The sequence below is a fragment of the Homo sapiens genome, chromosome 18 (assembly GCF_000001405.40).
Source record: "Homo sapiens chromosome 18, GRCh38.p14 Primary Assembly".
Lineage (NCBI taxonomy): Eukaryota > Metazoa > Chordata > Mammalia > Primates > Hominidae > Homo > Homo sapiens.
Window position 1 is genome coordinate 2,937,457 of NC_000018.10, and position 14,378 is coordinate 2,951,834.

Consider the following 14,378-nt stretch of genomic DNA (forward strand, 5'->3'; position numbering starts at 1 on the left):
ATTGCTTGAACCCGGGAGGCGGAAGTTGCAGTTAGCCGAGATCACACAATTGCACTCCAGCCTGGGTAACAAGAGCGAAACTCCAGCTAAAAAAAAAAAAAAAAAAAAAAAAAAAGTGCGACGGGTTTCGACTGGTGAATACAAATACAGAGGCAGCCATCACGTTATGTGGAACACTGAAATAATTTACCATCTAATTTGAGAGTACCTGGAGCCAAATTAAACAAACGATTACCTTTCTTCTTTGACGGCGAGTCTACTTTAGCTGCCGGTTTGGATTCTGAGGGCGCCTCCGCTAAGGCTGCGTTGGGAAGGTGGTCAGCATCTAACATAGATGAAATCTGAGTACTCTCAAGAGGAGGTTCGAGAAGCTCTGCCACAGATGTTGGGTCGCTCATCTGTGTACCCAGGGCTCTGGGTTTGGGCTTCACTATGGTACAGACAGTGTCTTCCATGGAAGCATCCTTCTCAACTTCACTGATGAGGTTGTCCTCACTGGGAATTACCCGAAAATGAGTATTTTCTGATGGTGTAATTGTAGCTGTCCTAGGATGATGGTCAGATCGTTCTCTTTTGCTGACCTAAAAAAGTTAAATTGTTTAAAAATTAAACTACTTTCAGAGTATTTGTTATAATCTATTTCCTAAGCTGGCAATGTGTTCATTCTATTTTTAACTTAACACATTCATTAAGTATCTTAGTTTGTACATGTAAAAATTCCATAATAAAGTGAGAAAAACTAATAATTGCCTTTTGTTCAATATCATGATACTTATAAATGTTCTGGCCGGGCACAGTGGCTCACGCCTATAATCCCAGCACTTTGGGAGGCCAAGGTGGGCAGATCACTTGAGGTCAGGAGTTCGAGATTAGCCTGGCCAACAGGATGAAACCCTGTCTCTACTAAAAATACAAAAATTAGCCGGGCATGGTGGCAGGCGCCTGTAATCTCAGCTACTCGGGAGGCTGAGGCAAGATAATTTCTTGAACCCAGGAGATGGAGGTTGCAGTGAGCCGAGATGGCACCACTGCATTCCAGCCTAGGTGACAGAGCAAGACTTTATCTCAAAAAAAAAGGTGTACGTTAAATGTTCTACTGTGAAGTTATACTGGAGAAGACTGAGGAAACTGACAATTTTCAGTTACTAAGAAGTAGAAAATACTCATTTTGGGGGAGAAAACTAAATGAAAATTTCACCCTCCTTGGACCACATCAAGGCTCTGTTAAAACAGTGTAAAAGTGGCAAGTCTAAATTCGATCACAAATATATGCAAAATGTATATTTTAAAAACCTAAATTCAACAGAAGATCTAAACATTTTCTCTCTCAAGAAATTTATCTTCTCAGTTCTTTCTTCTTTCATTATGAGCTGGAAAAAAAGGTTTAACAATTTCTTGTTTAAAATTTCAGTGTTGGCTGGGGATGGCAGCTCACGCCTGTAATCCCAGCACTCTGGGAGGCCAAGGCAGGAGGATCTCTTGAGCCCAGGAGTTTGCGATCAGGCCAAGCTGATATAGCGAGACCTTGTCTCTACAAAAAATAAAAACTAAAAAATTAACTGGGTGTGGTAGCACACACCTGCAGTCTCAGCTACTTGAAAGTCTGGTGTGGGAGAATTACCTGAGCACAGGAGGTTAAGGCTGCAGTGAGTTGTGGCTGCACCACTGCTCTCCAGCATGGGTGACAGAGCAAGAACTCTGTCTCCAAAAAATAAAAAATAAAAATTCAGTGTGAAAATTTCAGTTTAAGATGCCTTTTAAAATGTCCTTATAATAATTAACAATCATTATTATTCAGTAAATAGAAATATACACAAAATACTACTGAAATCCTTCGGTTGCAAATATATAGTCCAAATGTTACAAAAAATGTTAACTTTGAATTTACTTTTATGACATGAGGGCACTATCATTTACATTCATGAGAGCTCAGTCAGAAATTGCCTCCTTTACTTATGGGCAGAGGAATTCGTCACTTGTTTAATCATTAACACACTTTCCACAGGCAAGTAAACCCTAGTACCTTGGTGGACTCTGGGAATCCGCCCCACGTCCACTCCATGTGAGACTCTGATCTGAGCAGGCTCTCCGCAGGTTTCACCTCCAGCTCTGAATCACTCTTAGGACACGCTGTCTGGGGATAGGTGCTGCAAAGAGAACAAAGACACACGATGACTTGAAAGTCGGGAAACCTTCAGTCTTGCTGAGCCTGACAGATTAAAAGAAACAAATCTGAATATCTTGACTTTATCCTGCATATATAAAAACTCTATGGAAGGGAGCATCAATTATTTCTTCCACTTGAGTTCTTTAATAATAATAATAAAAATGACACCAACTAGTATTTAAGAGGACTTACCAGGTCCTTTGTAAACAAACACTGTAGATTCATAATCTCATTTGCTTTTCACAAGAAATCAATGAGAAAGAAGATAATTTTGTAGGAAAGGAAAAGCAGGCAAATTAACATAACACCTGAGAATCTGATTGCAGAATAAACAGTTATGACTATACTTTTTTTCACTATATTATTCATTTACAGCCAACAGTTGACACTAAAAGATGAGAATTTTTAAGAATTGCAGATGAGTGGGCACAATGTCTCATGTCTGTAATCCCAGTGCTTTGGGAGGCCAAGGCGAGAGGATCACCTGAGGCCAGGAGTTCAAGAATAGCCTGGGCAAAATAGCGAGACTCTGTCTCTACAAAAAAATTTAAAACTTAGCTGAGCACAGTGGTGCGTGCCTGTAGTCCCAGTCACTCAGGAGGCTGAGGTGGGAGGATCACTCGAGCCCAGGGGTTTAAGGCTGCAGTGAGCTATGAGTGTGCCACTGCACTCCAGGCTGGGAAAACAGAGCGAGACCTTGTCTCTACTAAAAAGAAAAAGAAAAAAAATAACTGTAGATGGCTAAATTCCATGCTGATTATACAGATCTACAACTGGCCAACACTGTTAGAGTAAGTCAGATCAAATTTAGAAACAAAATAATTATTGAGAGAAAAGATTCATATTTATGTTACAAGTAAACATTCAGTTCCTTGGCTGTGTGAGAGAAATGGGAAATATCATTACTACAGATTAACAGAAAAGCTAATTAATACATCTCCTTCCTCTTTCAAGAAACCAAGAAATTTCAAAGATACTTACGTCTCTAAAGGGGACCAATCTCCATCAGATAAGGGGTAATGATCCCCAGAATGGAAGAGCAAAGGCTCTTTACATTCTTCTTCTTTCAAGGAAGCATTTGAAGATCCTCTGTGAAGGAGAAACCAAAGAAAGGCAGGAACGATGACATTCTTGTCAGCTTTAAAATATCCCCCAAACCTACTGATACTACAAACAATCAAAATGAAGAGGGGCAAATGATTACTAACTCTCTCTAAAATATATGAAGGAGAAGGGGGGATACACCAATGCCACCCACTATAAAACACCACAATCACTATTCACATATGGAATAAATAGGGGGAGGACAAAAGAGAAATGTGATTTCTCTTTTTTCCATCCCTTAAGGGTGATTCAAAGGCTAAAAGAAAACTAAGGCTTTATGTCTATTTCATTCAATCCTTACAAAATGAGGTAATATTTCATTGTAGATTTTAAGTAATCAAGGATCCAGAGAAATTTAGTAACTTGCTCAAAGTCAAAAAGATAGGAAGTAGTTGGATTCAAAACAAGTAAGCCCTTATTCTTTCCACTGCTCTCCCCTTTCTACTGAATACATTTGAAAATGTATATTAGCTGAAGACAAACAAGATCTATGGCTCAAAATTTTAACAATACCCTAACCTCTTAAAACCTTGGGACTAATTTTCTTCTTTGTTTGGCCCAAGGATTATCTGAGAAGGTTTCCTTTACTTGGAATCTACAAGATGTGGAGATGTGAAGATGATACCAAAAATGACAAATGCTTTTAAGATTCATAAAAGGACCTTGGGTAGGGGGTTACACTACTGCTGATAAGATTTTAATCAATTTACTTGTTGGTTTCTCAGATTTTCAGTTACTATAACTACCTTGCCATATAACCTTGAAAACATCCCTCAGAAGCACTGTGGGCCCCCGTTTTCATCTTTACTTGGAAATTTATCATTTGTCCTGTCTACTTCAGAGTCAATGTGAGAGTTACATGGTGTAGCATGTTGAAATCTCTGAAAAGTAAAAAGAAAAGCACAAAGAAAGACTCTGGCCAGGTACAGTGGCTCATGCCTGTCATCCCAGCACTTCGGAAGGCCGAGGCGGGTGGATCACGAGGTCAGGGGTTCAAGACCAGCCTGGCCAAGATGGTGAAACCCTGTCTCTACTAAAAATACAAAAATTAGCCGGGTGTGGTGGCGGGCACCTGTAATCCCAGCTACTTGGGAGGCTAAGGCAGAGAACTGCTTGAACCCAGGAGGCAGAGGTTGCAGTGAGCGGAGATCGCACCACTGCACTCCAGCCTAGGTGACAGAGAGAGACTCCATCCCAAAAACAAACAAAACTCTGCAAAGCATAAAGCGCCATATTATACAAGTTTAAAGGCTTCTTATAGAAAATTCAATGTTCTAATAGGACAGATAATAAATGTAAATGAGAATATCCACATCACTTAGTTTGCTGGACTAAACACAGGGATAGAAAACCAGGTTCTTTTTTAATATTACTCTTCTTCCTTTATATCTTAACTTAACATACTCTTATTTACCACTAACTCTGACATGTAATAGTTTTTCCACATAGCTTAATCTTTTAATTTAAGGTTTTCCTAACTCTGGTCTTCTTTCTCTAGGGCCTTACTCTGGCATACCACTCATTGAAGGGGAGAAAACATATACCTGAGAAAGACATCTAGGAAAAAGTACTCTATTTCTCAATAAAGGAATATCAAAAGGCAAATTTTCCCCTGAGAAAGGGAAAATCAGGTTTGTGAATGGTCTTTATTTGCCCACTCTGAAAGGACACATCAGCTTGACCCATCACTATCCATACGTGAAAGTGGTCTGAAAAGAACAATGTAAAAGTCACACAAATTTCTAACCGGAATTTTTATATTACAAATATTTTACTTTTGGGACATATTTCACTGCAGTATAAAAGGTAAGCCAAGAAGAATTCAGCAAAGCAAACAGGATTTAGTAAAATATTGAAAAAGCGATCAGGTACCACCTGAATTCACAGCCCCAGGAAGACAAGAGGTGGCCTTTTTTGGTCATATCCTGACAAAAATACAGCCCATTAGTCTAGGCCCACTACAGTGACAGAAAAGATTTATGCTGAGATCCCTTTCAGTCCTAAGATTCCTTTATTAAAATAGAAATTCCAGAAACCTTTTAGGAACTTTCAAAATGGCAGGTATGCCTTAGAACAGGGACCTGCAAGGCAAACCATGACAGAGTAACAAACTAAGCACGTGACGTGAGGCTATAGTGGAGCGTACACAGTAGAATGTGAAGAAAACAGCACAAGCACTGATTCTGTTTTGCTAATACATCAGAACTGAGCAAAAGATGTAAACGGTGACTTTCAGTCAGGGCTGGGGGCTCGGAGGCTGAGGTTCACAGCCAGTGTGAACAGGGCACTCCAGCCCTCACAGATGTGCTACAACATCACATCTTTCAAATTCCGCATCATTTTCTAAGCCTAACATTTTTCCAATTCAAAAGCTAACGGAGGTTACATGGATGTATATGACTGCCAAAATGCACTGAACTGCACACTTACGGTCTGTGAATATTGCTGTATGTAAATTATACCTCAGTTTTTTTTCTGTTTTGTTTTTTAGAGAAACAAATCAATAAGCATTTTTTATTAACTTTTTTGACAAACCGATAGTAAAACATATGCTACCTAACGGTAACTGTGTCCCTTTATGTATGAGTCTAAGATAAATATTATTCAGATTTTTATCTGGACAAGAAATTCAAAGGCTCCTTAAGAAGTAAGAAAGGAAATACCATGGTCACTAATGTAACCAGACTAAATATAAAAGCTGCGTGTGTGTGTGTGTGTGTGTGTGTGTGTGTATAAATCAATGTTTTGATCAATGTAACTAATCTGAGGTTACAATAACTCACTGCTTCAAATAATATTTCAATTACATTTAACAGATTAAGATACTGTTTAGGGGAAGACAGCCTCAGAAAGAAGTATTAACAAAAAGGCATATTAATCATTACCTTTAATCAAACTAAGTATCAACCTTTCCCCCAACCCATAAAGACTTCATGTCTCTAAATGGTTCCTAAATCATGGAATATAACTTGAAAAATTTTAAATACATCTCCCAGTATCAGATGTTTATGTACTCCATGTGGGTCCAACTTTCACTGCCCAGAGTTTCTTGTCATGGTAGTGTAACATCATGAGTCTGGTTGCCAGATCTTTTTGTTTTTATTTGTAACAGAGCTAAACCTTTTAACAATTATATTAACTACAACTAAGTTATTTGCTAATGGTAGTAGAATGATATATATGCTTTATTAACGAAAATAGTACTTCTGTAAATTTTTCTTTGTAAGAATTCCGCAAATGCCAAGGAAAAGAAAAGACTCAAGGGGTTTGGGAAATAAACCCCTTTTAATTTTAAATCTATGTAAGTTTAATTTATTCCCAAACTTTCTAAGTTCTTCCAGAGTTCTGGCCTTCAGAATATTTCCTAATTTTTCTTCTTAAGCTCTGCACTGCATCAAAACCTATCCAAACGATCTAATTCTGTGTTACCTATATTTAAAATAAATAAAGCACAATATATAATCAACACTGTATCACTAGAATTGTGAAGCTCTTCATGACTTTAAAAAAAAAAACTCCAAAACAAGCTATTTTATTTAACATGTAATAGTCATAAAGCAACTCCATATATTTAGTTTTCTGATATCCTAATGTATTTCCACAAACTTTTTTTTTTTTTTTTTTTTTTTTTTTTTTTTTTTTGAGTCGGAGTCTGGCTCTGTCGCCCAGGCTGGAGTGCAGTGGCGCAATCTCAGCTCACTGCCAGCTCCGCCTCTTAGGTTCACGCCATTCTCCTGCCTCAGCCTCCTGAGTAGCTGGGACTACAGGCACCCACCACTACGCCCAGCTAATTTTTGTATTTCTAGTAGAGACGGGGTTTCACCGTGTTAGCCAGGATGGTCTCGATCTCCTGACCTCGTGATCTGCCCGCCTCGGCCTCCCAAAGTGCTGGGATTACAGGCATGAGCCACCGCGCCCGGCCTCCACAAACCTTTTAAGTCTACAATTTTACATAGTTTTCCATCAGGGAGGCAAGATATATATAATTTCTTTTTATATTTAACTAAAGGTTTTAAGAGGGCTTAGTCTGTAAATCAGTAACAATTAGTCATAACACCATACAAACACATTTAAATATTCAGGAAAGAGGTTTTTAAGATTATTGCTTAGTCTTATAAAATGGTGAATTTTAATCAAATTGATACCTCTGTATTCTTATTTATGTTTCCTATACTCTTACATCATACTGCTTGGCAAGTAATGTAAGTTTTGACATAATTTAAAAATTCAAGTAGTTGTAAACAAATCCTAATTTGTTAACAATTCATATATTCCCCTTTACTTACTATACTACCTCAGAATTAATCCTCCTTAAAAAAGCAATCATCCCACATAGAAAAAACTGCAGAGCTTCATCTCTTCCTTAAATATTTTCAAGTACCGTAAGAACACAAATCCATGAAAAAAACTGATTAAAATTGGACATTTCATTAAAATTGGACATTCACAATTAGCTTTACTAATTATGGAATAATACAAAGACATAAAAAAAGTTCCTTAATATTTCTTTGCTTAACAGAGAAATACAAAGAAATACTGCAATTATGGTTATGGGCTATTTTTCAGCCTCTTCAAGTACAGGACACAACTATGGTTCCTACCAGTAGGGAGAAACGAATAATCAATCTTACATAACACGAAAGAAAGATGAGAGGCACAAAAAGATAAACTGACTTTGGCTTTTAAGAACCTAATGTTAACCCTGAAATGCCACATTCAGTAACACAACAACAAAACAAAAGATGACAGCAGCAAGCCACCACTTCACACAGTATTAAAAATTCTGAAATACGTAATAGCCTTCCTCCCATCTCCCACTCAATCTGCTGTGTCGTCTTTTTGTTTTTCCTGCTTTTTAGCTGCAGGCAGTTCAAGGCTTGCCCACTGCATCGGTTCAGCTTTTCTCATAGTGATTTCAATCTTTGTTGCAGTCATAGTTAATAACTTCGCTTTACATCAATCACACCCCATAATTTCACATTTTGATCAAATTCCTTCTCTCCTTCAAATACAATATGCGCATCTAACAATGTGCTATTTGCTTCTACTCGACTAAGTTCTGGAAGTGAATTTTTAGCCTATACTGAAATGGTAACTTCACCTCCAGTCTGATGCCAGTCATGTCTACATGGAACAACTTTTTTCCCAGCATCTTTTTTAGTCCACATGTTTCTCTTTTGTACAGCCCTCTTGGTCTAAGAATGTATTAAAATCAGAAGTTTTTCTTCTACAACAGCTCCAGTATTTCGTCCCCTCATGGAAAATAGGTACTCCAGAATGATATACACAGACTTCTTCTAGACTCTCTAGACCCCGATATGTCTTTGAACACCCTCCATTCTTACATGAGGTCCCAATCTTAATTTCATCATTGTCTTCTTTTCTTATTTTCTTCATTCCCTGATGACAGTTTAAGTTTATCAAGTGCTTGTTTTAGGGAGGCAGATATTTTTAATTCCAAATTTGTCATTGGTTCATCTGGGCTTGGTCTTTTTATCGCGTCTACTGTCTTAGGGGCTTGAATGTGTTCCTGAAATTTTGGTTTTAATTCAGATAGTTCCTTCTCCTCAGTAGTCTTGACCTCAGGTTTGACTGGCTCAGGTGGCTTCTCACTATTATGTCTACCTTTTGTACAGCCTACAATGCTTAAGAAATCAGAAAAATCAGTTGTTCTTCTCTTACAGCAAGACCAACCCTTTAATGCATCGTGAAAGACTGGAACGCCTGGGTGATATGTGCAAGCATCGTCGGAATTGGTCTCAGGATCGAAGCGCTGACCGCAGCTCCGGTTGTAGCACAGCAAGGCCATTTTTTTTCCCACTGTCACAGGCAAGGCCCAAACACCGGGAACAGCAAGAGGATGCGTTAGCCAATCCCGTGTTGCTAGCACCAGTCTCCATACCTCAGTTTTTTAAAGTGAGAAAAAAATCAATTGAATGCCAAAATAAATAGCCTGAATTATTTATGTGGGATAAATTATAGGTGCAACATGAATTTTAAACTATTCACTGGTAGTATGGAACAGATAAGTGGGGCTGCTAACCACCATAACCAAAGACCACTAACTCTGTTAACAACGTCTAGCAGCAACCTTAGCACAGTACGAGTCAACGAATTTCAGCGTGGCTAATGATCTCAGCTGGCATTTGGATACAGAGCATTTCCCGTAAGACATATGGAGCCCTGCAATACTTCTCTCTGTGTTCTGTGTCAGAAACGAAGGAGAGAAAAGGCAGGGAGCATCTGTAAGATCCATGTCACCCTGAGTGTCTACACTCACCCCAGAAGAACATGGAGGGTTCTCTAGAAGCCAATTACCGATCAGGAGATGAAGTATGCAGATCATCAGAGCAGTAGGTGCTATCTGTGAAAAGTCTTAGGCTCCCTGGATTTAGCTCCCAGATATCACTTTTAAGTAAGTCTGCTTTAGTGGATTAAAAGTTGAGACTCCTTTCTGATGGTGTGATATTGAGCCTCCATTTTTGCTATTGCTGGGTATTTGAAATATTTCCATCGGTGGCATGTTTCATATATTTGCACTCAAGATTATGCTAGAACACCATCCAATATGCAGAGTCTCTTCCCTCCAAAAGGCTACATATGCCTAGGTGCAATGTTTTTAATCTCTCTCTCACACAAAGACATCCATCCATCCTCTAGAAGGACAAACAAGGCTTCTATGTTATATTTAAGCCCAACGCCCATCTTTAGGAAGGGAGGGAGACTTACTAGGTACAGTTTTTTAAAGCCGTGTATAGTTTAAAGCTCTCCGATTTCCAGAAATGAGTTTCTTCCAGCTGTGCTATAGCAATCTGCTTTAAAGAATGATTCCCTCTTCCATCTGCCTCCTTCAAGGAGCCTCAATTAACCTTAATTCTATTATCAACAAAATTCTTGAAAAGTAAAGAATTTAAACGAAATGCCATTTGTCAAAACAAAACAGAAACCTATTTTATGCATTTATCTTCTCTGGAAAAATAATTTCTTTTCTAAGTGGTAGGAGCTGAGGAGAATATGCTATAGGAAAGCTGCAAATTCCGCAACGCCACGTAATTCCTAGTCCTCACAACTGCAAAAGCAATTGATTTCCTTTTCTTTTTCTCTTAGATTTTGAACACGTTGTTTCATATGCTGTTAATGACCGTAAATAGCTTCCCTCAAATAATGTCAGAGTCTAGGTGCTGAGCTGAAAGGGGCCTTTTAAAGGCCCCTTCGACCCTCTCACTTTATAGATTAAGAAACCAACGCCCTGAGCGATGAAGAGGCTACTGTTCTACAATCTATAATGGGCCCAGTCTGTCTACCTTTTAGCTCAGTGCTTATTTCAGAAAACAACCTGAATTTTCACAGATGTTTACATTTTGTTTTCTTTTTTTAAAGTCCTAATTTCTGTTGGCTATATTATTTAAGCAGATTCTATTTTAAGGAAATTTCATGGAAGAGCTCCTCCAGGTGGCAGCATCAATTATTCCATGGTAACCTAAAGAAAAAGCAAAACACCAACCTCCTGAAAACGACTGCAAGGCCCTAGCTTACGTGTGTTGTGACATGCCTGCTTACCAAGCCAGCAAGCTGCTGGCTTAGAGATAGGCTGGCAGCCATTCATACCTGTCAAACACATCAGTACACAGTGGATACAGCCTTTCACACCATCAGGAAAAACAAGGTATGTACTAATATTTCTGCAATTGGCTTACAACATTCGTTTGCAAATTCCTTTAGAATAATGATTCTTGTACAATTTAGTAGGGAACTTGGCATATGTTTTAGAAATTGTTTTAATTTCCCAAGCTGTAGGTTGTTCAGGAATTCTAAATGTTGCTCTATTATGTCTGACAAAGGACACAGGTCAACAAAATTCTAAGACAAAAGCATTACTTCAGTGCTCTTTTTGGTAGATCTTGGAAGAATTTTAGTTGGTAAAAATATTTTCAGGAACGAAGCACTTCTGGGAGCATTACAAGGCTGATCCTAATAAAACTTAAGATGTGTAAGCATTTCAAGTTTTTCTCAAAAGAATACGTTTCTTGCCCACCTACACATTTTAGTATGCATAAGACAAAACTTTTAAAGGAAATTGTTTATAATTTTTTTTTTTTTTTTAAAGACAGAGTCTTGCTCTGTCACCTGGGCTGGAGGGCAGTGGTGTGATCTTGGCTCACTGTAACCTCCGCCTCCCAGGTTCAAGTGATTCTCCTGCCTCAGCCTCCTGAGTAATTAGCCTGCCACCACACCCAGCTAATTTCTGTATTTTTAGTAGAGATGGAGTTTCACCATGTTGGCCAGGCTGGTCTCCAACTCCTGACCTCAGGTGATCCTCCCGCCTTGGCCTCCCAAAGTGCTGGGATTACAGGCATGGGCTACCGTGCCCGGCCTTTTAATAATGTTTTTAATATTCCTGAAGTCAAGCAGTAGAAAAGTAAAAAATCTCATACTTTATTCTCCTAGTGAAGAGAAGGACAAATAACCTTTAAAAGACTGAATGAAGGAAGGAAAAGGACAGGAAGAGTCTCTTTTTAAGAAATTCTGGTACTTTTTATCAGCTTAAATTTCTTTGGGAATCAATGATATTTAAAAGTAGAGTTCAGAACATTTATGATGAAACTCTTCTCAGCTAGTATTTTGACACTGACAAAAAAAATTACCTAAATTTATTGATTCATTCAGGATTTTAAAATTTTGTAAATATAGTGTACTCTGGTTTGTAGAGCTTAACATACTTTTCCACTATTGCTTTCCATCTTTTGTTGTTTAGTTCTATTGGAGAAATTCTGCATTCTATCAGAACTGAAATCAAAGTGTTACATATTCAGCGTGGGAGGAGTAAGACAGAACACCACAGACATGACAGCTAGTGAGCAATAAAACAAGAGGAGTAGAAAAAAATTTCATGTATTAAAAATGGCTATGTTACTTATAATATCGAATTGTAAAAAATTACTATCAAATATAGATGTTTAATTCTAAGATTTAAAATCTAGATTTCAAAATTTTGGAAAATGAATTGTTTTACAAAAAAGGATTATACTATGTTATTCATTAATGCAGTATAATTATAATATACTAATACTACATTAATTAACACTTTTTGCTGGGCTCAGTGGTTCATGCCTGTAATCTTAGCACTTTGGGAGGCTGAGGCGGGAGAGTTGCTTGAGGCCAGGAATTTGAGACCAGCCTGGGCAACATAGCAAGACCTCAACTCTACAGAAAATTTTTAAAAACTAGCTGGGTGTAGGGGTAAGCACATACAGTCCTAGCTACTTGGGAGGCTGAGGTGGGAGGACTGCTTGAGTTCGGGAGTTCAATGTTACAGTGAGCTATGATTGCACCACTGCACTCCAGCCTGGGCAACACAGGGAGAACCTGTCTCAATTAAAAAACAAAACAAAACAAAGCATATTTTTTTCCTGGTTTGACCATTTAAAACAAAAGATTGGCAAATAAAACACATACCAGATTGAGCTAGGGTTTACTCTTGATATATATTTGGTTTCCATAGCTAGTGAAAGAAATTATTTCCCTCTATTCTAGGATGAAAAACACTTGAACATCACTGTTTTCCAGGAAGTAGGGTGTGACCTCTTTTCGACAGATGGGGTGAAAACACACAAGTGGACCAGCAGCTCCCGCCACAAATAAAGAGTCTGGAAATGCAGGGCCACTCATGGGCAGCAGCTTCTTGTCCAGTCGTCACCAATAAAGAGAATCCCCACCACGGTCCTAGTGCCAAGGTGGCCACTGAGTGCAACAGGTGGAAGAAAACGGAATCTTGAATAAGAAAACGTGTTCTACTCCCAACTGCTACCTTTCAACCCCAAGCGGTGCTGACATGAAAAATGGCATATAATGAGCTCTTCTACAGAGCAGGTAAATAAGCAGCGATCAAGACTGCTCATGTAAAAAAATAAAAATCATTCCTTTTCAATTCCAATAAAACAAAACTCAACTCCTCAGGAAAAACATACCAAGCCTAAGGCCACTGGGTAGGGAAATCCCAGAGATGACATGGTGTCCAACTGGATCTGCTCACCGAGGGGCAAATCACTAATTCAGATCTTTTGACTTAGAACTTATTTGGCTCCTGGAAACTTCTTTATGAAAAGAAACACAACCAGTCTGCTACAAATGACATTTCAGTAGCATATTTATAGAATAGTTGAAAGGAACAAAGAAACTGCCTTTGCTGCTTGATTCCACAATAAACTGTAAAGGGGGAAAACAAGCCCAAACCTCACACTGTGTATCCATAAAAAAACTGGCAGCTCCTGGCTTCACATGAACTCTAGGTACCCGCACAAGACCCTTCCCAGGCTGAGAGTCCTACCGTGCTGCCTGGGCCCCCTTGTCATCATCGGAGCTCACGCCTACATCACATGTGTCTTCTGCAGCAGCAGATGCGGCCTGCTCTTCCTTCTTACTGTCCTGTTTGTATTTCTTTCTCCTTCGTTTTTTCTTTTTCACAGAACTTGGAGTAAAAATTGTCTCTGTTTCCAAGACGTGTGAGATGTCTGAACTCTGAGATGGTGTTTCATCTCCACCCGATTTCACCAAAGGGGTGTCAATATCTTTAAAGAACTGATCTTCAGTAGGAATTGGTGAGGTGGCAAGGTAAGCAGGAAGCTTTTCCTTGAGGAGAATGGAGAAAGAAAAGTTATCCATGACAAACTCGACAGTGAATTAAAGCAGTAATATTTTGAATATATAAATTTTCACCATGGTAAAAAAAAAAAAAATACATATTCCCTAAAGGCAAGAAAGTCCCACTGAACTAAGGCACTGCCTACTATACTCTGACGAGGTCTTTCCCCTGTGAGGCAGCTAAGTACCAGCCCACTTGGGTACATGTAACTGAGTCCATCTGAAGGAACTGACATGCCAAGTCAGCATGGAACACCCCAAAGCCATAATTAAAGCTAAGCCTATTAAATTCTTCACAAAGCAAAGATCAAAGCAGCAACAAAAATCTCAGGAGGTGTTACAAAGGACTCTCTCAAGAACTCACACAGAACATTCAGAACAGGAAAAAGCAGAAGGCAGAGATTAAGGACACTACATCAGACAAAGGGCAGCAGGACAGGTGAGTGACGCGAGGATGCAGTGATAC

At 38.8% G+C, this 14,378-nt stretch overlaps 1 protein-coding gene and 1 pseudogene across 9 annotated transcripts in view; both read right to left on the reverse strand.

The window, feature by feature from the left end:
* LPIN2 (lipin 2) overlaps positions 1-14,378 on the reverse strand; it is a 96,151-nt gene that overhangs the window by 20,463 nt on the left and 61,310 nt on the right. For all 8 annotated transcript variants that reach the window (XR_935074.3, XM_047437958.1, NM_014646.2 and 5 more), the window contains 4 exons: positions 13,599-13,900; positions 3,149-3,256; positions 2,024-2,147; positions 236-581 (listed from right to left, as the gene is read on the reverse strand). Coding sequence is in view for 7 of the 8 variants with exons in the window: in XM_047437958.1 (XP_047293914.1) it covers positions 236-581; positions 2,024-2,147; positions 3,149-3,256; positions 13,599-13,900 (880 nt within the window). In the remaining variant the exon portion in view is untranslated. The remainder of the gene's footprint in view (positions 1-235; positions 582-2,023; positions 2,148-3,148; positions 3,257-13,598; positions 13,901-14,378) is intronic.
* CHORDC1P4 (CHORDC1 pseudogene 4) lies at positions 5,756-9,167 on the reverse strand (annotated as a pseudogene). Its single transcript, NR_026659.1, has one exon. The product of NR_026659.1 is annotated as a CHORDC1 pseudogene 4 (transcript).